The following is a 27,232-nucleotide window of genomic DNA, read 5'->3' as shown; positions in this document are numbered from 1 at the left end:
AGGGTCTCAACTTTCAATAGTGGAAGATCCCTCCTAATAGTGGAAGATCCCTGTCTTTGGTTAAAGACAGCCGTTTACTACGATCCCCTGGCTTCCTGGCATGAAAGCAGCTTTCTTTGAATCCTGCTATAATGGGCAGATAATCTCACAGCTATTTCCTCCTCTGCTGGGTCTGTTGCATGATGCTCTATCAGTACAGAGAGACATTCCAAAGCTCAGAAAAGGTACAGGACAAAGGGCTATCATTTGTATATATATTTTGAGCATCTTTGCTGGGTGGAAGAAGGATTTAGGGAGACACACAGTGAATCAGAAATAGTCCTTGACCTCAAAGACAAACCCCCAGCCTAGATTCATACACAGTTACCTACCATTAACACAAGTCAGAGAGAGAGGAGGAGTGGATGCAATGACAAGGGCAATGGTGGTGAATGAATTGACATTTGGAATTGGTCCTCGGGGATGACTGAGACTTCCCAGGTCAGAGGCAGAGGATGAACATTCCTGTTAAGGGAACAGAATGAGTAAAAGCCAGGCACAGCATAGGGCTTCCAGGAAGAACATCAGTTTATACAGACTCCAAAAGGAGGGATCCTCAGAGCTTTATATCTAAACTCCAAGCACATGACACAAAGGAAGCCAGAGCCCTTTGACATGCAGCTACTTTTGTCCCTAGAGTTTCCAGATCTTATTCCAGGAGAAGCATAGCACCCTCCTCCCCTCCACATCCCCAACCACACATACAAGGAACCTACAAGGAGGGCAGGGCTGTGGCTTTCAGTCACCAAACTTGCATCATTTGTGATCAGGGAAATATATATGTATTTGAGATGGAGTCTCACTCTGTAGCCCAGGCTGGAGTGCAGTGGCATGATCTCAGCTCACTTGTAACCTCTGCCTCCCAGGTTCAAGAGATTCTCCCACCTCAGCCCCCTGAGTAGCTGGTATTTTAGGCATGCACCACTACTCTTGGCTAATTTTTGTATTTTTAGTGGAGACGGGGTTTCAGCATGTTGGCCAGGCTAGTCTTGAACTCCTGGCCTCAAGTGATCTGCCCGCCTCAGACTTCCAAAGTGCTGAGACTACAGGCATGAGTCACTGCACCTGGTCAGGGAAATATTTTAAAATTGTATCAATTTTGGAGTTCTGATCATTTGTTTCAGAGTTGGAAATCAACTTTAGTCTCAGGATTCCTTATTGTTCCTCTGCTGCAATTTCTTTTCTGTTCTTTTTTCCTTTTTGGGGACAGGGTCACACTCTGTCACTGAAGCTGGAATGCAGTGGTGCTATCATAGCTCACTGTCATCTCGAACTCCTGGGCTCAAGTGATCTTTGTAGAGACTGGCTCTCACTCTGTTGCTTAGGCTAGTCTTAAACTCCTGGCCTCAAGTGATTCTCCCACCTGGGCCTCCTAAAGTGCTGGGATTACAGGCTTGTGCCATGGGGACTGGCCCTTTGCTCTAATTTCTAAATGCCATTTCAACCTTTCTTTCCTCCATCCAGCCATGCTTCTTCATCGCAGACACAAGTATTTGGAAACTTCCTTTTTCCTCTCTCATTTTTGTCCCTGGGGCTTCTACAAAGACTGTCGGAGGTCTCACCACTCTTTATCATCCAGATGTCTCTGAGAAACAGAACCACACACTTCCCAACAGCCATCCTGATCTGATCATTTGCACTTCAGGAAGGCTTTGTCCCAACTGAATTCTACCTTATCATTCCCATCAATATTTTTTTTTCATCTTAGCTCTGTGCCAACCAATTGTTTATATTTACTCTCAAAATGTATTTGATGATCACACGGAATTTCACTGCCCAGTTATGTTCTGGTCTACTTAATTTGTCATCTCTATATTCCTTCTCTTGACAGTGGCAGTGTTGCCAGGTAGACAAGGCTCTCTTTTGTTATCACACTTGTGGCCAAATAGTAACAATACTGGTAATAAGAAATAAGTTGTATCAGGTAAGGTGTTTTTTTTTGTTTTTGTTCTTGTTTTTTTTTTGAGACAGGGTCTCATTCTGGAGTGCAGTAACATGATCATAGCTCACTGTAGTCTCAAACTCCTAGGCTCAATGATACCCCCACCTCAACCTCCTGAGTAGCTAGGACTACAGGCATGTGCCACCAAACCCAACTATTATTATTATTATTATTATTATTATTTTTTTTTTTTGTAGAGAAGGGTCTCTCTCTGCTGCGCAGGCTGACCTCGAACTCCTGGCCTTAAGCTATCCTCCTGTCTTGGCCTCTCAAAGTGCTGGAATTACAGCCATAAGCCATGGTGCCCAGCTTCTTATAGGGCTTTAATAGAGGATCATCACTTCCTTAATACTCAAGCCAACCTGTGAAGCAAATTATCCCAGTTTACAAATGAGAAAACTGAGGCTTAGAGAGATTAAGTGACTTGTTTAAGGTCACTCTAGTAGTAACAGATAGGCAGGGCTCAAACTCTGGACTATTAGAGTTGCTGGATATGAAGTATGCTTTGAATTCTGTGCTGGTCCCCCTATGCTTCCCAGAGATGCTCTAAACTGGAGTCTCAAACACCAGTGGGTTTTAGAATTACCTGGGGTCCTTTTTAAAATGCAGAATCTTCCCACCCCATACCCAGGACAATCTGATTTTGATGTGATAGGGCCCTAAAGTTTGCATCATTTACCCAGACCCCTGATTTTATTAATGCAGGAGCTTGTGTTGAGAAATTGCCAAGCAAAATGGAGAAGCCTAAAAATGCCTTATTTGTATCTACTGTTCATTGTATATAACTGTGAGTTAATTCAGGGAAAGATAGTTTGTATTCTGCTTTAGTTCTTATAAAATATCACTATAATCTTATTTTAAATGGCTGCATTTCTGGAAGAGACCATTTTATCCCAAAGAGAATTTCATTTCTGATCATTTCAGATAGATCTTTTATTTTAATTCTCCCTTCCCTTCTTTTAATATGACATCATAATCCTCTTCACATCTAGCTTTTGTGTTTTATTGGTGGGTTTTTTTTTATGGAATATTGCCAGGCTTAGCATTAATGATGGAGATTTCAGAATTATATTCTAAATGAGAGTAAAATTCAAATAAGGATCCAAATGGAAAATATGTCTGTAAGTATATGAAAATACCTCCTTTTTTAAGCAGTTTTTTTCTTTTTTCAGAAGGAAATGCTGGTTTAGGTAGGTGTGTTAGGGGGTGCATTTTACTGTTATACATACCATCTTAAGAAATATTCAGATAAATCCTGCTTGTCAGAACTCCAAAGAGGTCAGAGCACTGGATAAAAAATGAGACCAGCTTTGATTTCCTTATGTAAATGTTTTCTCTAGATGTATCTATTATGCCAAATGTAATGGTTCTAATAACCACTCCAGACCCATCTAATTCAATTTAATTCCCCATGATCAAAAAATGCAAAACAACTATTTGAAAGACAGAGATTAGCTCTCTTTCTACTACTAAAGGAAATGAGAAAGGTATTAAAGAGATGGAATCTCAGACAGAGCTTCAATATTGATCTCGTCTCCCTTAAGTTTGATCTTATGTAAAGTAAGTATACAGAGTGAGGTTTGGTGTAAAATTTGCTTTTGTAAGGCCTAAAGAAACTGGAACAAGCCATCCATATTCATCCCCTCTTTAGCAAGCATATTCCTTCCTACCACTTTCAAATATTTGGATCAATATAAAGATTTAAGATCGATTTTCTTCCAGATTTCAGATCATTGCCTCATAGCCACATTATCTCACAAGCTGTGGTTTGCATTCTTGCACACTGAGCTGTCATATTTCACATAAATACCTTCTTTACATGGGACAAAATATAAACTGTCTCTTTCTACTTAACCCTGTCTTGAAAAAACAAAAGAAGCTGAGTTTTGGAAAATGAATTTCAAGCCCAGTCCACTGGAAAATGTCCTTTGGTCATCTATACACCTGCACTTACTGATACTCTCTTTTCATCCACTGCCTGGCCCGTAAACCACATTGTGTCCCTTTATGGGATACTTTTCATCCACTCCTTTCACTTGTTGGCTCCCTCTTTGGTGAGCTGATATAGGAGCTTGTGTATTTGCATTTCCTTTGGGAGCAGCATTCTTTAAGCAGAGCAGGAAATTCAGTGTCAGTTAATGAATGCTCTTGGTGTGCAGAAACTCTGCTGAGCTCTGGGAGCACAGAGAAGAATGAGATGGGTTCTCCCTCTCTTTAAAATGATTGCCTCTAGTTAGAGGCAATGGGCCTAACAATAACAATAGCTCCCATGCATTGAGCATTTGTTTTGTGCCACCTTCCCAAACGCAATTAATTTTCATCTTCACAATAGTCCTGTGATTTAGATGCTGTTATTCCCATTTTTCAGAGGAGAAAATTTGGGCTCCCCAGTTGCCCTGGCCCTCAGTGGGTATGTGTCAAAGCCAACATTTGAATCCTGGTCTGTGTGACATCAACACCTCTTCACTATATGCTATGCTGGTTGAAAATATAAATACTAGTCGATGACTGAGGCACAGAAAAGATCAACAGAAAAAGAAATTCATCTCCCGGGTCAGAAGGATTAAAGTAGAAGCTGGAAGGCTTTACCCATTCCGGTGTGGCAGTGCCTCCTCTTTTAATGACCTCCCCTTGCGGGCAAAATTCTCCGGAAGAATGCTGTTGACATCCTTCAATGCATCATAAATAATGTCCCAGGTGCTCAACTACCAGACTCAGTCACACTCCTCTGGAAGCTTTGCAAAAGTCCTTGAACTTAACCCCCTCTCAACCAATGTTTCTTCTCATTCCTTGCTCCCCACTATGAGCTCAGTATCATTTGCTCATATTTCATAGTTGCATTGTAAGTGCTCTTAAATTTTTTTTGTCTTTTTGTTTTTTCATTTTTTGTTTTTTTTTTGAGATGGAGTCTCTCTCTGTTGCCCAGGCTGGAGTTCAGTGACATGATCTCGGCTCACTGCAACTTCTGCCTCCCAGGTTCAAGTGATTCTCCTACCTCAACCTCCTGAGTAGCTGAGATTACAGGCGCCTGCCACCCTGCCCGGCTAAATTTTGTATTTTTAGAAAAGATGGGGTTTCACCATGTTGGCCGGGCTGGTCTCAAATCCCTGACCTCAAGTAATCCGCCCGCTTCACCCTCCCAAAGTGCTGGGATTACAGGCGTGAGCCACTGTGCCCAGCCAAATATTTCTAAAGCAATTATTAGTTCAAATGAGTGCTACCTGCACAGATTCAGGATCTGCTGCTTCTGTGTTGTTACTGTCTAACAGTTCTGCGAACTTTTTGTTTGCCTTTTTGTTTTTTGGTGGGAAAGAAAGGTCACCTAAACTTTAGGTTCCTTTAAGGCTGGGCTGTGTTTTATTTGTTTCTGTATCCTTGGCCCCTAGGTCAATAGGGCCCAGAACACGTGTTCATAAAGGTTTGATGGACTAAACCAAATGTGCAGCCAATTGTCCTAAGCTCTGTGACAGGGAAATATAGACCCTCAAATCAATTGAGTCAGCAAAGACTGAAGTGTGGGGATCAATTAAGGTAAGTATAGATATAACTATAACACAATGCAGAACAAGGTAAAACATCATAACGGGGTACCAAATGCTAGGGAAGTTCAGAGGTTGGAGAAATCTTATTCAGTGATCTAGAAGGGGGTATCAGAGGGCTTTAGGTACCCACCAAACTGATAACAAGATCACAGCTATTATAACTTGGTACCTTGGTACCAGTTTGTTGTTTTCAATAGTCACAGTGGGAAGTGCGGCATAGAGAAACTTTTTACTTTATACTTTCCAAGTTTGACTGCATTTTTTAAACAATAAAATTCACTCCTTTTGCAACTAAAACGAAAAGGAAAGGACTGCATGGTGAAGGTGGCATATGACTGGGTTTGGAAAACTCTGTGGATAGGCTAAGGGGTGGGGAGGATTCTTTCAGACTGAGGACCCGGCACGAAGGAAAGCACAGAGACAGGCAAGCCTTGAAAATGTTCAGGGAGCTGGAACCAGAAAGGTGGGCTGGAGTGCTGGATGCAGGCAGGGGCAGCAGCAGGGAAGGCCAAGAGGGAAAGTCAGGCCATGTTGTGTGGGTAAAGATGCTGTCACTGAACTCATCTGGATGGGGGGGCCTCTGGGTCTTCTGAGCTGAGCAAGGCACAATCATGGCTGGGCTTGAGAGGAGTCCTCCTGGACGCTACTCAGATTTGGATATGCACGGATGTTGTCCTTCTTCCTTCCTGAGCCTGATGGCTTGTAGCTCCTAAATGCCAAGGACTGATTCTACTCCATGTACCAGCCCATCCAGTGCTACAACCCAAAGGAGTGACTCGTGCTGGGTTTCCCAAGAAATATGACAGGAGGAGAAGGGAGATGATAGGCACGTTCACAGCACCCCTCAAATTACCTGTAGGGGTTCCCCTCTCTTGCTGGTCATGGAAATGCAAGGTGGACATTGAGATTCCCTCGGTTTCAAGTGTCATTCTTTGCTTCAGGAAAATAAAGCTTTCTTAAATATTTGTATTCTTGCCTTCCTCTCTCATTCCTCTCTCTTCCATTTAAACATGTCTGAAATATAAACACATATACACTTACACATTCAGCATGCCCACTTACTCACTCTACACCTTCCTCTGCTACCCTGCTTCTCTTGGGAGCAATAAGGGCAAAAACTCAATTAATTTCTATGAAATTTCCATCTACTGCTTTAGTCAATAACAGACTTTTCATATGTTAGGGCTCTCAATCAGCCACCTCCTATGGCTTTAATCATTTTCTAACATTTCAGTTTGCTGTCCAGTCTGAATGTCCAACTCCACCTCCCCTTGCTTTGGTTTTTATTATTATTATTTTAACTCTGAAAGGAAAATTCATGACCTATGCCTGGAGCCTAACCTCTTTGTTGATGCCCTTTTACATTTCAAAGTATTTCTTTGAGTAATCTGTTTGTTTTGTCCACTAAAAGCTTTTTTGAGTGAGGAAAATCTGATAGCAACAGAAGGTCCCCAAGTGGGTATGATTCTATTTCTGGATAAGACTCTGAAGATCTTTGTGATAGTTGATCTCATGTGTCAACTTGGCTAGGCCATGGGACCCAGATATTTGGTCAAACATGTCTGCACATTGCTGTGAAGATTTTTTTTAAAGATGAGATTAACATTAAAATCAGTAGACTCTGAGTGAAGCAGATTGCCCTCCGTAATGTGGGTGGGCCTCATTCAATCAGCTGAAAACCTTCAGAAAAAGACAAACTTCCTCCAAGGAAGAGAGAACTCTCTAGGCAGTGGCAGGCCGCCTTCTACTCAAACTGCAACATGAAGTGTCCCCTGAATCTCCAGCCTGCTCTTCTACCTTGCAGATTTGGGATTTGCCAACCTCCTAATTACATGAGGCAATTCCTTAAAATAAATTTTTTTCTCTCTCTCTCTCTGTATATACATACATACACACACACACGTATACACATACACACACATATAAGATGTATATATAAACATATATACACAAACAACCTATTGATTCTGTCTCTCTGGAGAACCATGACTAATTGACTAATACAATCTTCATGTCTATATTCTGTTACTCCAGAAAGATTGTAATTTCTTATTTGATTCAGAAAATGCTTATTAGATATCCACTAAGCCATTAAAACAGCTCTACCTTAAATTGACAGTATCCCTTCCACTTCCTCCATTTCCTGATTGAAAACCTAAATACACGCGGACCCCAGTATCATCTAACTCTCACCTTGTTTCACATCTTTTTCTTTTGCCATCTGCAGAAGAAAGCACAGCTTGGCAGCCACCTCTGATAGATCAGACTTTCACAGCTTTGAGGACCCCTGCCTTCTAGTCAAAACCCTGATGGCTTCTTCAAATCTCTCCCCCATGGGTCCTGTTTAGCAAGGCTTTGCACGTCTTCACTTATCTCCTTTGAGCACTCTACAAGTTCACTATTTGACTTTATTGGGATCTTCACTTTGATCTCAGTGATAAATCTGATGGTATTACACTGTGTCCCTGGGATGAAGTCAAGTGTTGGGTATTGCCAAGACTTCTCATGGAAATGTATTCCTGGGTGGGGGGGGGTACATCAACCTTAACTATAGCAGTCATTACCATTTACTGAGTGCTACCTACATGCTAGACCCTGAAATAGATGATTTACACCCATTATCTCATTTTATCTTGTAAATTAGACAGGACAGACTAATTATACCCCAGTACTCACTCATATGTTTTAAGAAGAAATGGAACCATGGAACCTCTGAGTCTTAGCTGGGCCCGTGGCCACTGGGAACACAAGCTAAATCTCCAAGCCCCCTACTCCCTTGCATAGAGGTATGGCCGTGTGACTAAGTTCTGGCCAGTAGAACATAAGAGGAAGAGTTAAGTAGAACTTCTGAGAAGTATTCTTAGAGGCGGATGATGCATGCTCTGCCTTCCTGCTGGTGGGAGTTTGGACAAAGCGTCTAGAGCTTGCTGCCATTTTGAGCACACATTGGAGAAAGACAGAATAGCCAGATGAAAGGAACCTGGATCCCTGATGACTTGTTCAGTCCCCATACTAGTCCGGAACCCCTTGCATCCAGATTATTTTTATCCTCTTTAACGTTTTAAGTCACTAGGGGTTTTAGAGTTTCTATTACTCGTAGCTGAATCTAATACTAATTGACCATTCACATTTAAAAGAGGAAGAAAGCAAGGCTCAAAGAGGTTAAGTTACTTGCTTCACATTATGTAAGTAGAAAGTTGTAAGTGGTGGAGGCTGGTTCTGTCTGATTCCAAAGCCAAGGGTATGGCCCCTTCCTGCTATACCATACTTCCTGCTAGTGAGAGCTACCCTCTAAAGTGAACTTGTTGTCTTCTTTCCTGGTTTGACGATTCTTCTAAGCAAGTATAGTTTGGCTGAGTCGTTACTTCCTGGAGAGAGGTTTTGAGGCCCTTCCACTGTCTTGAAAGATGTCCCAACCAATGGGACATCTGTGACCATTCAGGGACCTGGATACACTTATCCCCTAGCCACCCAATACCAATATGTTTGCTAAGTAGCTGCTTCTTAAACTGCACAGTAGGGTGAGTGTCTTGCACACCTTGTCAGACCACTAAGCCTGCCTGTCCTAACAAATCTACTCTGCTGTGACTGTATTCCTCTGGCGTGTTGGTACATATGCTTCTCCCACTGGCGCTTGGGGCCCCAGCATGTCTGAGAAATTGAATGACAGCAAGTTTTTCTGCCAAGACCAAAGCAAATATCCCTGGGAAAAAAAAAAAAAAAAAACCAAGAGCCTCATTGCAAAGCGTCCTGGCTTCTGTGTGGATCTTCCGCTAGGGAATTGCAAAAACTTTCTTGAGATGCAGAGACCCTAAAGGTCCTTCAAATGCTGAATGTCAGTCTGTGCCACAGTCAAAATTACAATCCCAGCAGAGAAAAATGTGCCTGCTTTTCGCTTGTGTGGAATTACAGGGGTCCCATATACTGGCTTTGATCCAGTTTACTATGTGATCTTGAAGAGAGACATCATGGTGTGTTGAAAGAGCACAGGGTTGAGACTCTGAAAGCCTGGCTGCTGGTTACTACACTGACACTGTGTAGTTCAGTCCCGGGCAAGTCACTTAACCTCTCTGAGCCTATCAGCTGTGAGTATTCATTCATTCACCCTGCCCCCACCCCCATCCATTCATCCATCTATCCATCCAATTCAATATTTATTAAAGGTGCATTTTTTTAGGCTTGGGGCACACAAAAATGAACAAGATATGGCTTCCCCACTGAAAGAGTTCCCCTTCTACCTGATAGGTGGTAGCAAATGCAAAATTGTTAATAGATGTGATGGTACTTGAGAAAGCATAAGCTTGTACCTACAGTCAAAGGGTTATTTTTAAGTCACAACTTTGGAAACCTCAATTTCTCCTCCCCTTAGGTGGGACCCCCTAATTGTGCACCAGGGAGTCAATAGAGAAATAGGTGTAGAATTCATGAACTGGCTACAGAGGTCCCTAGCAATTTCTGCATCATAGATGGGGCATTTAATAGTGAATGTGACCCATCCTAGGAAAGCTGTGTACTGAGAAGCACCTGGAAACTCTGTCTTCAGAGACCCTACCCAAGCTCAGTATTTAATGGGAGCCACAGGCCACAGAATCCTTATCCTTATGATTGGAAGATGCCTCGGTCAGCCATAAGAGAAATTTCAGTATTTTATTGAAAGCATTTTGCAGTGGGAAATCCTTTCTCTCTTTTTTTTTTTTTTTTTGCCAGTGCCAGCATAATTTAACTATGATTTAATAGCTTCTTTCATTTACTTGTTAAATTTTGCCTGTCCATCACCTTCCCTTTGGGTTTTCCCGCCTTTTGGTCCTACAACCTCCCATTATTTATTAATGCTCCATAATACATGATCGAGGTAGGCAGAAAGCAGTCATTTCACAGTGATTTAGGAGACTCCTGGCAGTGAAACAACAGGAACAGGAACATACGCTCTGAGAGTCTCCCCCGTACTTGCCTTTTTGGAACAGAGTCAGATAGTTCTTAGCCATATGAGTCCTCCCCTCCCCTTCCCATCCCACCCTCCTGGCCATTTTCCTGCCCTGAGCAAATTCAAAATACTTGGCTCAAAATGACTGGTGAGTCACAGCTCATGTTTTTTTCCAAGTTCCAACTGCTAGGATGAGTCTACTCCTCAAAGTTGTGCTTAACCTAAAGAGACACAAGAGGTAATTTGGCTTTCCCTCCCAGGCAGGAGCCTTGTGTGAGATTAGATTTCAGATATTTAATAGTTTGAATCTTGAGGGAATCAGTCGTTGAAAGGAAGCCTGAAACAAACTAGGGAGATACTCCTTGTTGTCCTTTTCTTGGGACAGATTGGCGTGTTTTGACTCATGGAATGACTTTTATAGGGATGGAGTTAGGATGAGTAGTTCTAGAGTACAGATGGGAAAATAGACGTGTTTTGTGACTTACTAAAAAGTATGGATTGGGCCACATCTGCAACTTCATCACAGTTCTGTTTCTCCCAGGCATCAGTGAGGGGCACGTTCATTTGCTGCCCCATCTACGTTTCCTTTGCCTTATCCCTTCACTTGTGCTTTGCACTAGACTAGCACCTATTCAGTGACTCAGTGGATGAAGTAGGGAGGCTCTGCAGATGTCGGGGCAGAGGGATACCTGGAGAAGTGCAGTGACCAACCCAATATCGTAGAGTTGAAAAGTGGCAGAGCCAGAATTAGAGCTAAGCTTCCTTTTTGACTGTAAACTTTTACTGAGTAGGTTATTATTTTTATATATTTAAAGATATATTTTGTATATTTTTATAACTTTTAAAGATAATGTATATTCAAGCTCTTAGCAGAGTGTCTGGCATTTAATGCATGCTTGCCTTCCTTCTACTACAGACCACCAAAACTGATACAGTGCTTAATAGGAAGGGTAGTGTTGTATATGGCCAGATCCCTGGAATGAGACTTGGACCTCATCCTGGTTATCTACTTACTCATTGGGGAAACTTGGATGGGCTGCTTTGCTTCTCTGAGCCTCAGTCTTCTTATCTGTAAAATCAGAAGATTGAGTTAGATGGCCTCTGAGATATTTTCTTCCTGTAACTTTGTTCCTGAGACTGCTTTAGTCGAGGTTGGGAGTAACTTAGAGCACAGAGCAGGACTCTAGAGTCTGGGGAATGAGTTGCCCAAGTGGAGTAAGGGAGTCATGACAAGGACAAAGTGCTTGGGGATCTATGATTGTTATATTGAGTGATGGCCAAATCAAACAGGAGAATTTCTTATGCTTCTTGGGCAGTATAGCCTCTTAATCCCTCTCTCCAGGTCCTAGACAGTATTTGGCAGATACGGCATCATGTCCCCACTGGTTCCCTTTCCAGCTTTTGGAGGACCATGACTGCACCAAAGGCTGGGCATGCCTGTCATTCCTCCTTCATCCCTGACTACACTCACCTGCTTCATCCCTCTAGATGGTAGCAAGAGCTTTGGAGCCTAGGCATTTGCCCCTGGAGACATGTCCTGATTTTCCCTAGCGGCCTGGGCAGCCATTCTCCATCTGGTCATCTAGGCTTAAAGTCTAAGCATAGGAGAGAAAATCTGAGATAAAACAACAGCTGGAATAGAGAGTCTGGTCCCTCTGTTTCTCTATGACATTACTTCCTACCCCCAGCCGTGCCTTACAGAAGGTAGCAAATGGAGTAAGTCAGTCCAGAAGCTGGAGCTTTGGGTATCTCCTGTTCACCCACAGTGCTATCTTCTGCAGCAAGCCTGACTTTGTGATGACCTTTGCAATTTCTCCATTTGCATTTCCGCAGTGCCCCAGGTTTGCAATGACACGCTCCATTCCTCCAGAAGTTTTCATTCCTGTGGCGCCAAGGCTGGGGAACATCAGAGGGCCAGGCTGTTCTGTAACTAACGTAAATGTGTAATCTGCCTAAGCCTTGACTAATGCATTCCTTGCATTATTAAACACAGATTAAATATATATGGATATTTAAATGTAATGTGTTATTTTCCTAAATCTAGCTATGCTCGATGTTCCTTTGACTTATGCCTTTTCATTGCTCATAATTGTCTCAGGGATCATGAATTACAGGCAGAAAGGAGCTGGAGCTTCCTCAGCACCAAAGACTTTGCTATCCCATTACATTTGCCCAAGAGATGCAGCAGTAGTTCTCCCGCCCAGAAAATTACTGCTGGGTTTCTTCACAGGGGAATGTATTTTTTTTCCCTTCCTAGACAGAGCTTATTTCTCACCAATGATTCAAAGGCTAAGCCAGCCAGAGCCTGGCAGACTTTTCAGTTTGTTTCTATTCTACAGGAAGGCTTACGTCTGGGGCAAGTTACTGAATAAGAAATTCAGACAGAGTCTGTGCCTTCATGCTGGTGGTACCTTCACCCACTCTCCATCAGCTGTACAGACAGTCACTTGTCCTCTACGGGTGCTTGGAGAGCCCCAGTGAATTCTGAATGATTTCCTGTTTCAATCATGCAGTTAATTGGCAACATTTCTGCCCAATACCTCAGCCCAATGGCAGGGAAACCAAAACTATCCATGACAATGGTATGTTTGAAGCAAAGACAATCTAAAGCACTTCACATTTGCATGTCTCAGTTTCCCTTTCTCTAAGAGGCAGGGTGGAGGATTGATTCTGATTCTCTCCAAAGTTTTTGTAGTCTTTCCCATGGTTCTTTGTGCTTCTGAGGAACCAGAAGGGGCAATACAGTCAGATACCGTTCACCTAGCATCATTTGCCCTGCTACCATTAAAGTATGTTCTTCCTTGAGTCTTGGTTAAAGATTTTTCATCCATGTCAATCAGTCAATTGATCAGGAGGTGCTGCCTTTGTATCCTGTCTTTATCTGTATCAATATACTAGAATTTAAGCCACTGGTGTTCAGGAGCCAGCTCATACCACCTAGGAAGAGCTGACTATGCACATATCTTCCCATCTCCTCTCTCAGTGATACCTTCTTGGTTTCTAAAAATCAGCCACTGCGGGAATATTTACACCATGGAAATTGGCCAAAGCTAGAAAGCAGAACTTTTTTCCCTTGAAAAACTGATCGTTAAAATTTACCAGCACATCACTGCCATAAGCTCCCTGAGGGCACTGGTCAGTTCCTATAGCTCTCTTTGTGTATTATGAAACACATATTGGGGTGTATGGAAAGTTTTGTAGATGAATACAGAGGACACGTCAAGTCACAGATCTCTCCCAGTTCAACTGTAAATAAGTTACAATCTCCATTAAGTGCCACAGTCTTTCAAACATACCTGCTTTCTATAGTATTACACTTTTTTTTTTTTTTTTTTTTGTGAGATGGAGTCTCGCTCTGTCACCAGGCTGAAGTGCAGTAGTGAGATCTTGGCTCACTGCCACCTGTGACTCCCTGGTTCAAGCAATTCTCCTGCCTCAGCCTCCTGAGTAGCTGGGATTACAGGCACATGCCACCACGCCTGGCCAAATTTTGTATTTTTAGTAGAGATGGGGTTTCACCATGTTGGCCAGGATGGTCTCCATCTCCTGACCTGTGATCCACCTTGGCCTCCCAAAGTGCTGGGATTACAGGCATGAGCCACCGTGCCTGGCCTATAGCATTATACTCTTGATGTTATTTTTTTCTCACTGTGGGGACATGCTTGATCTTACCATCATCCATGCCTCTGTGAGTAGATTCTCCCTCTCCTAGGTGTGTTCATCAGAACTTGCTGAAGTAGGAATCAAAGGAGTTAAGACAGGAAACTCGTTTTCCATCTTCCCCTGGACCCAGGACAATTATTGATAATCTCCTTCTTCTAATAGGAGAGCAAGGTGACCTAAGGCTTGTATGGGAGGGAAGAAAGGAGCAGATGTTGGGATTTTGGATGAGGAAGAGCAATGCTTGGCTGGACTGATTTGAGCAGGCAGCCCACTTGTCAGCTGGACTCATGAAAACCCCCAAAAAGGAAGGGAAACAACTGCATTCAATGGTCACAATGTACAACATTTACTGTGTCTGTCATACAATCAGCAGCATATGGAATCTCATATATCTTGGGCCTCCTGACTTGGACATTCTTCATAATAGCTTGATTTTGGTTGTCTTCTGTAAATGCCTAGTATGGAGCTTGAAGCATTATAGGCCTTCAATAAGCACTTACTGAATTAGTGAAAAATTTTATTTGCCATCTACAGGTCTCAGGGTTTGGAAAACGAGTGTAGGTTGTGGTTGGAGAGTGGGGAAGGTGTCGAGGGGGCTTGTTCTTTTCCTGAACCCTGCTTTATTCTTTACACTGTAGTCAAAGTGGTTATCAGGCCCCTCAAAGGAAAGGAGGTAATTCTTAAGATGTGAAGGTGCAGGCACAGAAGAAAGGTTAAGGAAGGAGGGCCACCAGGCCTTTGTGCATTATCAGTTCCCACTTTAAGGAGCCTTTCAACAAAATGTCTCTGCAGCTCAGGTAAGCAGGGAGTTAAGGTCTGAGGAGAATGGAATTTTCCTTGTGGTCGTACAGACTTGTTTTAACCACAGGAATGAACACAAGATTCAACTTGTCCCCTCAGCTATTGTCTGGAACTCCTTTCCCTCCAGCCACCGGCAGCTGAGGTTTTAATGTGACATTTTTCTAAGTATTAGGATTGCTCTCTGGCCTTCTCTTTATAGCTTTTTTGCTTCCCTCCTCCCAGGCTCTCACCTCCCTATCCTTCAAATGCTTTCCAATAAGCAAGTGCTCTCCTCCTGTCTACCAGGCAGGGGAAGACATATGCGTTTATTTATTCTTTTTAAAAAGGTGTGTCTCCTCTCCTTCCTGAACCTTCATCCTGCAACTCCCCCTTGAAACCACAAAGTATTACCCTTACCCATTCCCAAATCCCAAAGCCTGGTGCAAAGATACCTGAAGGATGATAAGCTAACTTCATACGCTGTTTGAGCCATCCTAGCAAGGGTTTCAACAGCCTTATCAACACAACCAAAAATATGGGCATATTTTCTCTCAATTAGTTATTGGGCCCAAGCATAAAAGACCTTTTGAGCCTTAGTCAGAGGTCTTATTTTGTGAATTTTTGCTTTAGATTTTCTGGTCTCTGTGTGGCTTTCTCTAAGGTCTCTAACCAATCCCAGCCCATCTTCATCCATTTATCTTTAATGTAGAGGAGCTCAGAAAAAGTTACCCCCAAATTGATTGACAAATTGGGGTGGGAGGAGGTGATGGATTATTTTACGGATCCTCTCCCTTGATTGCCTTGATATTCCCGCTGCATTTTTGTCACCTTACTGCCTGGTTTCTGAGTTCTCTCTGTGTCCGAGGACGACAAATGGCAGTAGAAAGTCAGCATGCCTTGGAAACTCAAGCAACCCGAAGGCTCAGTGCTCACTTCTCCCTGCCAATATTGCAATGGAAAAGCCTTCCTGCAGACAATTTTTAAAATTTTCTTTTAAAGCAGCATTAGAGAGATTGAAACAGATTTCTTTCCAAGGCGTTACCCTTTGATGAGGTACAAAAAAGGTTAAACAAAAAGCCAAACTTTGGTTTCAAATGTAAGACACCTTTATTCTAATTATAATCATAATGATCTAATGTGTTTGGGATTTAATTATTTGGAATTAGAATAAAAAAAGACATCCTGTAATTACCATTGAACTCATCTTGAGGCATAAATCTAATAATTAAACACTTTCAGATTGTATTCAGTGAGTAATTAAAATAGAAAAAAAATACTGTGGATTCCTTTCTACCTCTGTAAGGAAGTTTCTCAAATTATCAATGGATTTCAGTGACAATATCTAGAAATTATTGTGTATAAAATATAATTATTAACAAAATTATAATTTCAGTTATTTACAGTCTTTTCCCTTGGCAGTCAGGATGTTTGAGCAGGTGAGAATTGACAGAGTTAGGAGTTGGATCTGAATGAAAAATATTTCCTTCCTGAAAGATAGCTCCCTGAACTCAAGTTTCATTTTTATTGTCAGCAAGGAAAGAGAAGTAGGTACTGTGCAATTTTTATGAGAACTGAGTTCTGTTCTCTGATCAGTTTTTGGCAAAAAATAGCAGCCCATATGCTTTCCCCTTTTGGAAGTGGAACATGGGAGTGAGGTTTGGCAGGAGCAGATGCTGTAGCATTCAAGGGAAAGGTCTTGGGAGACAGCGCGCTTCAGGGAATTTAGCTTTGTTCATGGGACTAGGCCCCAAATGTCAACAAACCCGATTCATCAGCTTGGGGTGGGGAAGGGGAGGAGCTGGCCGGTGTGGGGACAGTGTATGCTCAGGTGGCATATTCTCTTGGAGCTGAGGTGTACTCCTGCTGCTTCTTGCTCACCCCCATAGGGAACAGAAGTCAGGGTATTGGCATTGTTAGGCAGGCAGATCAGAAAGAGGAAAGGAATGAGGGCTTGGGCCAGTCTCATTCATCAGCTGCATGGTTTATCTAACCGAGTTTGAGTGGGTCAAGTTGTTTCTCCCCAGATATGCAAACCCCTTTGACATTCTACGACCATTAAGCCCTGCTGTAAAATGCTGCTTCCCTGGGAATAAGCAGTCCATTCAATTAAAAAGCACCACAGATGAATGCTACCTGAGAAGTCAGATTCACAGACAGAAATTTAGACTAGGTCCATGGTGAGGAGGGAGTTATCAATGGAGGTGGGAGAGTGCCTATCAATAACAGCAATAATAGTAATAGCAAAAGCTCCTAGGCACTTTACTCATGCCTTCCTCATTTAACCTTCACACTGATCCTGTAAGGTGAGTGTTATCTCTGTTCTGAAGAAGAGGTAACGAAGACCCAGGAGGTTGAGCACTTAGTCCAAAGCCACAAGTGCTATTAAGGCAGAGGCCAGATTTGCTACTCACCACTGCAGTACATAGCAAGATTCTCATATAGGGTATTTCTGGGATCACACATAGGGCTTTAAAAAATAAAGATTTTGGCCGGACACAGTGGCTCATGCCTGTAATCCCAATACTTTGGGAGGGCGAGGTGGGTGGATCACCTGAGGAGTTCAAGACCAGCCTGACCACGTGGTGAAAGCCCGTCTTTACTAAAAATAAACACACACACACACACACACACACACACACAATTAGCCAGGCATCTTGTTGGGCATCTGTAATCCCAGCTACTTGGGAGGCTGAGGCAGGAGAATCGCTTGAACCCAGGAGGGGGAGGTTGCAATGAGCTGAGATCACACCACTGTACTCCAGCCTAGGCAACAGAGCCAGACTCTGTCTCAAAATAAATAAATAAATAAAAACAAAGATTTTGCATCTTATCCCAAAGATACTGGGGACTCATTAAAGGCAGTGTGACAAAGAAGTTAGAATTTGATTTTTGGAGCCACACAACCTGGATTGGTTTATTACCTGTTAAACCTTAGCTAATCATTAAACCTCCCTGAATCTGAATTCTCATCTGTGGAATGGGTATAATTAATGCACTGGCATCATGTGGTTATGGGAAAGAGGTCATATCCATACTTTGGGTGATGCCTGGCACCCAGTACATGCTCAATAAATTCAAACTATTAATAATTACTTTATGTTAGTATTGTGTTACACCTTGAAGAATAATGGTAATGTAAATAAATGAAGTGAACCTCATAGAATGAAGGAAAAATAGCAGATGAAGGAAAAATATCACAAGCAGATATGGATGTGATATTGCGTTATCCTGGTCTTGCTTCCTTTTCTTGCTCCCTAAACTGTAGAAATTACTTAAGATTCTGTCACTGGTCTTCTTTTATATTTTGGATATCTCATCCATCCACATAATTCCCACTGACTAATTTATGTGAATAAACTCCAAAGTTTTATCTTGTGAGCCAACCATTTTCCTAACCTCTACTGCTTCTAATTCCCACTGGATTGTTTCTTCTCCTGGGATCTCCATCCCAGCATGTCAAACGGTGGTTCTCTAAGGGTTGATTTTTCTTTAACGCCCCCACCATGCCACCATACTCCAAGTTCTCTTTAACACCTCCATCCATTTCCTCACATCCAGTCAAGTTGTAATTTGGGTAATTTGTTGTAATTTTATTGGCTCCAGAATTAAGTCTGTTTTTGTTTTGTTTTGTTTTTTCAAAATGGATGATTGTATTTCCTTCTTACCTGGTTAGTGAATACCCTCTAAACTTTATTCAATCACTAAGTTGATCTTTCTCAAAATAATTCTAATGATATCAGTTTATGCTTAGAGATCTTTAGTTTCTGAAGCTTTAAAATTTAAAAACAAAATTCTATTTTGTTAACAGTTCTGCTGAAACCTATTTCCTTTTCTCTGGACAGAGTCTGATTTTTGCTTCTTTACTTTTGGCTTACAGAGTTCCCTCAATCAACCCTGTCCTTCCCAGAAGCTTTACCTGGTAGACTTTACCCCTTAAGAGGCTTAACGCTCCCGCTTCCATTAACTTTTCCTGATCACTCCAGGTTGACAAGACCTCTTTTTTTTCTGTACTGCTGAAGCATTTTGTGTCCCTTTTCTGATAGTGTTATTGTCTTGTGCTATGGTTTTAACCAGTTAATATAAGCACATGGAAGTCAGAGACCTTCTCTTACTCATCTCATGCATTATCTCAATTAATTCACAAAGCAACACCCTTCTGTAAGGTAGTGTCTTTTCATCTTCTAGATGTAGAAGCTGAAGCTCAAAGCTATTAAGTCAATATCCCCCAAATTCTAATTGTACCAAGGATTAGGTGGAATAATCAGTTTAAACCCAAGTTCATTTGCTTCCAAAGCCACTAAACAATACTGGTATAAGTGGGCTTGAGAGGAGGAAGATGGAGAAGAGATGGAAAGGTTGGAGAAATGTTGAGTAAGGCTTTAAGTTAGAGGCAGATATTGAGTTGGAGCTTGAAAATTATGATCTCATGGAGTAGGTGCATAGGAAGGCATGCTGGGCAGAGGGAACGGCATAAACAAAGGTGTAGAAGCAGGCCTTCGATAACCACCTGTTGGGAAAATGAACTAAAGAGCAGGTCCACTTTCCTACTTAATGAGGGATGTCCTTGGTAATGGGGCTTGGTCCCCAGTGGATTCTTTACTCCCACATTTGCAGACCCAGGCAGGGAGGAAGTTAATTCTGTATATAATTCTTCTATTCAATGGAAAGTTCTGGGACTCAGACTTTTAGGAAAATAGAAGTACTTTCATTTCTAAATCTAGGTTTTTGCAGTGCGGCAAAACCTGTTTGGTAAGCAGGGTCCCCTCCATGCCAGCCTGGTTTTCCTTCACCAGCCCAGACTCAGCAGAAAACACGTGCAGAGTAAGTCCACAGCTACCCCTCCAGGTGAGACAAGAACAAAGAAATGTCTCCCCCCGAGCAGTGGGCAGTAGTCCACAGGTCATTTGCAGTTACTTCTTTAAGTTCTACTTTCCTAAACCCTTCACTCCCCCGATCCCTATTGGCCTTAGCCTAGAGCGGCACAGCCAGAGCCAAGAACTCCATGGGCCTGGACCTCATCTCATAGAATCTCTGCCCACACCTCAGTGATCCAAAGAGCTGGGGAAATAAATGACATGGAAAATTAAAATAAACTGTTCCACCATGAAAAGCACAAGCTGGGTCATATTTATCACAATTGAATAGAAAGAGGTGGTAGGTTCTTTCTCTCTGAAGGTTCCTTACTCCATTTAAAAAGCACAATGAATTAGGACCTCGCTCATAACCCCAATTAAAGACACCGCTGCTAAGGCTTTGCACATAACCACACGATATGCTTGTTATTTAGAACCTGTTGTCAACCTCACAGGGAGTTGCATCTTCATGTTTCAAGTGGCTGCTTTCACAGAATCCTTGTAGCAAATGGACCAACATATATTTTGGGCAAAACAATCAAGATGGATGACTAACCCCAGCAGAGATTGTTTCTATAATATTAAATTGAGTGAGGCTCATGATACTGTGATGCCATGATACTAAGCATGAAACTCAAGGCAGACACTTTAAATAAAAAGATCGACAGACTTAACTACAAGAAAAATAGAAACCCCATGCAATAAAAACTCAATAAAAAATTTAAAAATGCCAAGGTGAGAAAATTGTTTGTAGAAAGTATGACAGAGGGTTAACATACAGATTTATTAAAAATGAAGAAAAATATAAGCACTTTAATATAGAGAGGACATAAAGTGGTGAGAGAAGAACTATAAGTAGAAAATAAATATATGAAAAATGTCCAACCTTACTGTCTATCAAAGAAATACAAATTAAAACAAAGATGGAATTTCAATTATCTATCAATTTGGTAAAGTACTGAACGTTTGATTCTGTCCAGGGTTCTGAGCTCCTGGTGTAGTAGTCCCCAGCTCTGAAGAAGAGTCTGTGAATTGGCTCAAGCTTTCTGCAGGGAACTTTGGCCATTGATATTGAAAGCCTTAAAAGGAGCCACAGCTACTGGCATAGCCAGTACGTTTCTGGAAACTCACTTTCAGAAGATATCAGACAAATGTACAAATATGCATAAGCAGGATTGTTGATAACAGCATTATTTGAGTGTACAGGAAACTGTAAACCTACATGTTCAAAAATTATAGTACAATATCATAGTAGAACATTGTACAGTCATTAAAATGCTGATACATAGGGTTATATCTATTGATGTGGAAGGATGATCATATTATATTATAAAGTGAGAATATTTAGTCAGGTTTTCTTTTTTAACGAACAAAGTGGAGCTATTTTGAAGGTGGTTATTTTCTGTAGTCTGTAATTTTAAACTTTTCTGTGTCTTCTAATTTTTCTATAGTGAACATGGATTATTTGTTTTAAAAAACAAATGACACACGTAGTAGGCAGACTAATGGCCCCTTCTCCAAAATGTCCTCACCTTAATTCCTAAAACCTGTGAATATGTGAGGTGATATGGCAAAAGGAGCTTTGAAAATGTAGTTAAGTTAAAGAGCCTGAGATGGAGAGATGATCCTGGTTTATCTGGGTGGGCCCAGTGTAATCACAGTGGTCCTTATAAGAAGAAGTTAGGAGGGTCAGAGTCATAGAGATTTACACTGCTAGATGTTACACTGCTAATTTTGAAGATGGAGGGAGAGGCCACCAGCCTAGGAATGCAGGGAGCTTTAAGCAGCTAAAAATAGCTAAGAAGCAAATTCTCCCCTAGAGCCTCCAGAATGCAACACAGCCCTGCTGACACCTTGATTTTAGCCCAGTGAGACATCTTCTTCTTTTTTTAAAATACTTTATGGTCTAGGGTACATTGGCAGAATGTGCAGGTTTGTTACATAGGTATAAAAATGCCATGGTGGTTTCCTGCACCCATCAACCCGTCATCTACATTAGGTATTTCTCCTAATGCTATCCCTCCCCTAGCCCCCCACACCTGGACAGGCGTGGGTGTGTGATGTTGCCCTCCCTGTGTCTGTGTGTTCTTATTGTTCAACAACCACTTATGAGTGAGAACATGCGGTGTTTGGTTTTCTGTTCTTGTGTTAGTTTGCTGAGAATGATGGTTTCCAGCTTCATCCACGTCCCTGCAAAGGACATGAACTCATCCTTTTTTTATGACTGTATTGTATTCCATGGTAAAAAAAGGGAATCCTCCCTAACTCATTTTATGAGGCCAGCATCATCCTCATACCAAAACCTGGCAAAGACACAACAAAAAAAGAAAATTTTAGGCCAATATCCCTGAGGAACATTGATGCGAAAATCCTCAATAAAATACTGGCAAACCAAATCCAGCAGCACATCAAAAAGGTTATCCACCACGATCAAGTTGGCTTCATCCCTGGGATACAAGGCTGGCTCAACATACACAAATCAATCAATGTAATCCATCACATAAACAGAGCCAATGACAAAACCACATGATTATATCAATAGATGCAGAAAAGGCCTTTGAGAAAATTCAACAGCCTTTCATGCTAAAAACTCTCAATAAACTACGTATTGATGGAATGTATCTCAAAATAATAAGAGCTATTTATGACAAACCCACAGCCAATATCATACTGAATGGGCAAAAACTGGAAGCATTCCCTCAACTGGTACAAGACAAGGATGCCCTCTCTCATGACTCCCAGTGAGACTTCTGACCTAAGAACTGTAAGGGAATAAATTTGTATGACTAAATTTGTGGCAATTTGTTACAGCAGCAGTAGAAAATGAGCACAACACGTTTCTCAGGCCTGTAAAATCACCGCCCTCTATCGGGCTCTGCTGGGTGGAGGAGGAGTAGGACATGGAAGAGCTTTTGGTTTAGGGACAATCTTTCTTAGGCCATAGTTAAAGTTGGGGAATGTGCACAATCAGCAGTAGGCTAAGAGATCCTCCTTATGAAGAATCACTACTCCGTAAAGTTGGTTTCGAGACTATTTTTAGTTGTTTAATTGTTTCCTTCTCTTTAAACTTGGGAATGCTAGGGATCTGTGCTTACCTTGCGCATTCCTATATCCCTTGAGTAGCACCAAGCCCAGGAGCTACTCAGCCCACAGTCACTTGCTTTTGAATAGAAGGATCAAATTCCAGGAGCTACAGTCTACTCTCTGAAGCTGACCTTCCACCTGATGCAGAAACTCAGGGCTAATTTTCTAGTTTTCTTCTCTCTTTTTGTGCAGCTGGTGTAGAGTTTAAAGAAATTGTGTTCTTTCCTTCACACTCAGATGGTTATTCCTTCTAGATTTCAGAAGCCTAGAATTGAGGTTTCAGCACTTGGACACCCACTCACCCACATTTAAAATCACAAAGAACCATGGCGCTGAAGTGGTAGTTTAATACTTGGTCTGTGGAGATATACACACAAGTCTCTGTAGGATCCTGTTTTCAAAAATTTCAAGAGTGCCATTGGCTGGTGTCTACAAAGAAGAGTTGCAGGATCTCAGAGCAGAACTGAGCCCTGACTCAAGTGTAAGAAAGAGGTTGTTCATCGTCTTCTAGGCTCAAGCGTCCCTAGAGTCCTTCGACTACCTCCTTTCACAAAAGTCTGGGATCCTTGGAGGCATTTCGAGAGGATAGAGTGGGGCTGGTTGTTTCAGTGTCTCTCCAAAGAATGTTGTCAGTTCCCTGTGGAATCCGCCAAGGCCCAAGGCCGTGTGGGGCTCCCAGTGGTGTCAGAAAGGAGTCAAATGCCTACTCCCAAACACAGCATCACTCACTCATCTTGGTTTAAATCTTAAAGGGATAGGAGAAGAAAGAACTTTCTTGCAGATGTGCTTCTTTACCACTGAAAGGAAGCAGCCTTCCTCAGAAAGTGACAACCTCCTTGTTGAAGAAGTAGAACTGAGGCAGGGTCTGAAAGAGCCTTGGGAAGAAGACTCTGGCTCTGGAGGGAGTTGGATTCTATTCTCTCCCAACTCTGAATCACATGACCCCATAATCCTTAGATATAAGCTGGGTCAAGCAGGCTTGCAGTAAACTGTGATCACAAATAGTTAATGGGGGAAACGGTCTCGGCCAGTGCAGTTGAAGATAAAATTAAAGAGCTTGAAGAACACATAATGGGAGGGAGGAAAAGAAAGACTAATTGGTAGAATAAAACCCTGCCCTAAATCTACAGAAATCTTAAATCCACAAAGGTGCAGGATTATAAAACCCATCCATAAGTAACAAGGTGATCCACATAGATTTCCTTCAGCTGTGCGAGAGAGCAGGCTGCTAGCTATGCCCGCTCTAGCTTCTTCCAACATGAATTTGCCGGTTCTTTTCCTGCTCCAGTTTGTCCTCATTTAAATGAAGCTGGTTATGTTTGCACCTCCTGGTTTTGCCTCTGTGCTCGTATACCAAGGAGTTGCCCGTCCCTGCTAAGCAGAGGCACAATCCAGGCGGGAGAAGCAGGGGATTAACATTTGCATGTTGTGTCTCTGTTCCAAGAGCTGTGCAAGGGGTTTCAGCATTTATGGTCTGATGTAATTAAAAGTCATTCTCCACACCCTCTTCTCTTCATTCCCTGGAGGGATTCAGGGAAGGAAGGACATGAAACTTGTCATTGGCTTCTTGCCTGTCAGCAGCTCACAGAGCTGTGGGAGGACAGGGGCCTTTTCTGGGAATTGCATTAGGCAGCACACCTGACCAGGAGTTTCTTGTTTTTGTTATTTTAAAATAAAATCTTGGGGCCGGGGACGGTGGCTCACACCTGTAATCCCAGCACTTTCAGAGGGTGAGGCAGGCAGATCACTTGAGGTCAGGAGTTGGAGAACAGCCTGATCAACATGGCGAAACCCCATCTTTACTAAAAATACAAAAATTAGTCGGGTGTGGTGGTGGTGCATGCCTTTAATCCCAGTTACTCAGGAAGCTGAGGCAGGAGAATCGCTTGAATCCGGGAGGCGGAGCTTGCAGTGAGCCGAGACTGTGCCACTGCACTCCAGCCTGGGTGACAGAGCGAGACTCCATCTCAAAAAAATAAAAATAAAATAAAATAAAAAACAATCTTGATACTAAGTTGTGATAGATCCTGGCCACAGTTTGCCTGTGACTCTTCTACATAAATTCAGCAGCCCAAGGCTGCAACTTTACATGGACATAACTAAAGACTAGTGCTTGTAGTGGACTGATCCCCAGAGGCAACCAGATGCAAATATCGCCAATGTTTTCTCTTCTATGGCCTTCCTCTGCTTTCCTGTCTACTTACTGTAGCGGCCAGTAAAGGCACCAAGCTTAGGGCCGAGGAGCTTTTCAAATATTTTTCTTAGGAAAATATGAAAAAGCCCTCCTCCCCACAACAACAACAAAAAACCCTCACATTGGCTCCATAATTCAAAAAGAAAACCAATGTTTAACTACTGTCTACAAAACATGCCAACTAACTCAAAAGCAACTCAACTCTTAGCTACATGTAAATTTATTTAGTGTGGGATGTGGGTGCATTTTAGTGTCTTTGAAGTAATGCAGGATGCGACCTCTAAAATAAGCTTGCCTGAGGCCCAGGAAAGCTTTGCAGCGTTCTTCTACGTGGCTTCTGGGAAGGCTCCAGCCCCTACAGAAGTAGTGAGGCCTTCAGCGGTTTCTCCTGCACCTGCTTCTGAACACTAGGTGGCAGCACGGAACTTCCTAAGTCTTCTCCAGAGGCTGAGTACAAACCTGAGCAATTCCACCTTAAGAAGGGCCATGCACAGAACCATGCAAAAAGTGCAGTAATTCTTGGACGTGGCTAATCTCTATAATTCACCAGATTGCAGATACAAGTGACAGCTGCAATAGGGGTGATGTTCTCTCATTCGCTGTGTCACCGGGATGCTATTTCGAATTTTCCCGAGATTAGAAAAAGGATTCCAATTGCCCCCAGGGCCTTGCCGTGTAATTTTTATCAGTCTTGATCTGTGAGTTCCCCTAGGCAGCGCGTGTGCCTGTATGTGTGTGTGCGCTCGCGCGCGCGTGCTCACACGTGTGTGAATAGGTCCTTGGTGAGATATGAGGCTCTTGTGGACCACACAGAAGTTGTTTCAGAGGATGAATTTCCAGATTCATCCCCAACTCCAAGACTCTTGCCTTCTCACTTGTTCATTCCTTCAGATTCAGTGGTGCAGCGCCAGCTTCATAGCCATACAATCTGTGCAGTTGTACGTTGCCTGGTGTTCAGCAGGTCCCTATCTTTGATTTCATATTCTGCTGTCACTGTCTTGAAATTCTTAATACTTCTTGAACAAGGAGTCCTTCATATTTACTTTGTACTGGGCTCCATATATGTTATATAGCTGGTCCTACTGTGGAAAATTATGGCCAGAGGTAAATTTCTCTCTAAGATGTGACTCTGTTCTTTCTCAGCATCATCTCAATGACTGGCTTGTCTTAGACTTGAGAATGGGAAAAACGTGGGCTTTTGGTCAGATGTACTTGGATGCAGGTTGGGAGCCTGCTACTTACTGCCTATGTGACCTAGAGCACATTTGTTAACCTCTGCAAGACCACCTCATCCTTTAGAAGAATACAATCGTCCTTTCCTCATAAGATGTGGTGAGTACGAAGTGCTAGGATCCATGCAAAATGCCTAGCACACAGTAGGTATTCAACAAACATTCCTTTATTTGCCCCCATCTCTCCTGGAAATCACCGTCAATTATTTCTACATTATCTCCCCTGTCCAGAGTACCCAGCCTTAGTTGGAGTTAAAGCTTGGTTTTATTTACAGTGAAGCAGGTTTAGGGCAAATGTTCAGTCTCTAACCCATCTCGCTGTGAGTTGAAAGCAGTTTCTTATTCTATTCAGGTCTCTGTGTTGAGCGAGATGCATGACCAAACTGTGGTTATGATTTCTGCACCACGGGAAAAACTGGCTTTACAGAGCTACCTACTGTTTGGGGAACCTCTAAAGAGAGCTTCTGATTGAAATGCCATCTTCAAGGAATTTCCCTTGTACTAATTAGCTTAATATGTTGCACTTGTATAATGTGTTTTTCTCCTAGGATCTGTGGATACTTGGCAAACAGCCATTAATCACATCCTCTTACCTTGATGTCAGATGACTGCAGTTGACACATTCATATCCCTGCCTGGATAGGGAGTTGGAGGGCCCTGGGTCTGAGGCCTGCCTCTGCTCACCATTTTTGTGTGGTCTTGAACAACTTTTCTGGACCTCAGTTACTTCATGTGTAAATTGAGGTTAATAAATTATATTTGGAAATTGATTCTATGGCTAAATTCTATGAAGATGAGATAGTCTCCAAATAGAACACTCTTTATAAAGTAGAAATAATTCCGCAATGCAAAGGATGACAATATTACATTTTGACAGTGAAGTTCAGGTTTAAATTCCAGTGCTATATTGAACATTATGCTTTTGTAGGCATTGAAATTTCCTCTTGCGAGGACTGGGATTGGATATCCAAGAGGCAAA

General features: G+C 42.3%; 1 long non-coding RNA gene across 1 annotated transcript, besides 3 other annotated features; it reads right to left on the bottom strand.

Annotated features, from left to right (window-relative positions):
* Window positions 1-240: 240 nt before the first annotated feature.
* LINC01698 (long intergenic non-protein coding RNA 1698) lies at window positions 241-7,876 on the bottom strand. The gene is made up of 3 exons (NR_146491.1): window positions 7,717-7,876; window positions 6,377-6,537; window positions 241-504 (listed from the first exon to the last, which is right to left on the bottom strand). It is a non-coding gene; the product is annotated as a long intergenic non-protein coding RNA 1698 (long non-coding RNA).
* Window positions 5,576-6,075: an enhancer, noted in NCBI's record as "H3K27ac hESC enhancer chr1:209547201-209547700 (GRCh37/hg19 assembly coordinates)". NCBI's record gives its function as "activates a minimal SCP1, AML or CMV promoter by ChIP-STARR-seq in primed H9 embryonic stem cells {active_cell/tissue: H9 hESC(primed)}" and the evidence as "EXISTENCE:reporter gene assay evidence [ECO:0000049][PMID:30033119]".
* Window positions 6,076-6,577: an enhancer, noted in NCBI's record as "H3K27ac hESC enhancer chr1:209546699-209547200 (GRCh37/hg19 assembly coordinates)". NCBI's record gives its function as "activates a minimal SCP1, AML or CMV promoter by ChIP-STARR-seq in primed H9 embryonic stem cells {active_cell/tissue: H9 hESC(primed)}" and the evidence as "EXISTENCE:reporter gene assay evidence [ECO:0000049][PMID:30033119]".
* Window positions 13,821-14,321: an enhancer, noted in NCBI's record as "H3K27ac hESC enhancer chr1:209538955-209539455 (GRCh37/hg19 assembly coordinates)". NCBI's record gives its function as "activates a minimal SCP1, AML or CMV promoter by ChIP-STARR-seq in naive H9 embryonic stem cells {active_cell/tissue: H9 hESC(naive)}" and the evidence as "EXISTENCE:reporter gene assay evidence [ECO:0000049][PMID:30033119]".

This window comes from Homo sapiens, chromosome 1, assembly GCF_000001405.40.
Source record: "Homo sapiens chromosome 1, GRCh38.p14 Primary Assembly".
Taxonomy (NCBI): Eukaryota; Metazoa; Chordata; class Mammalia; order Primates; family Hominidae; genus Homo; species Homo sapiens.
Note: the sequence above shows the minus strand (reverse complement) of the source record. Positions and strands in the feature narration are given on the sequence as shown.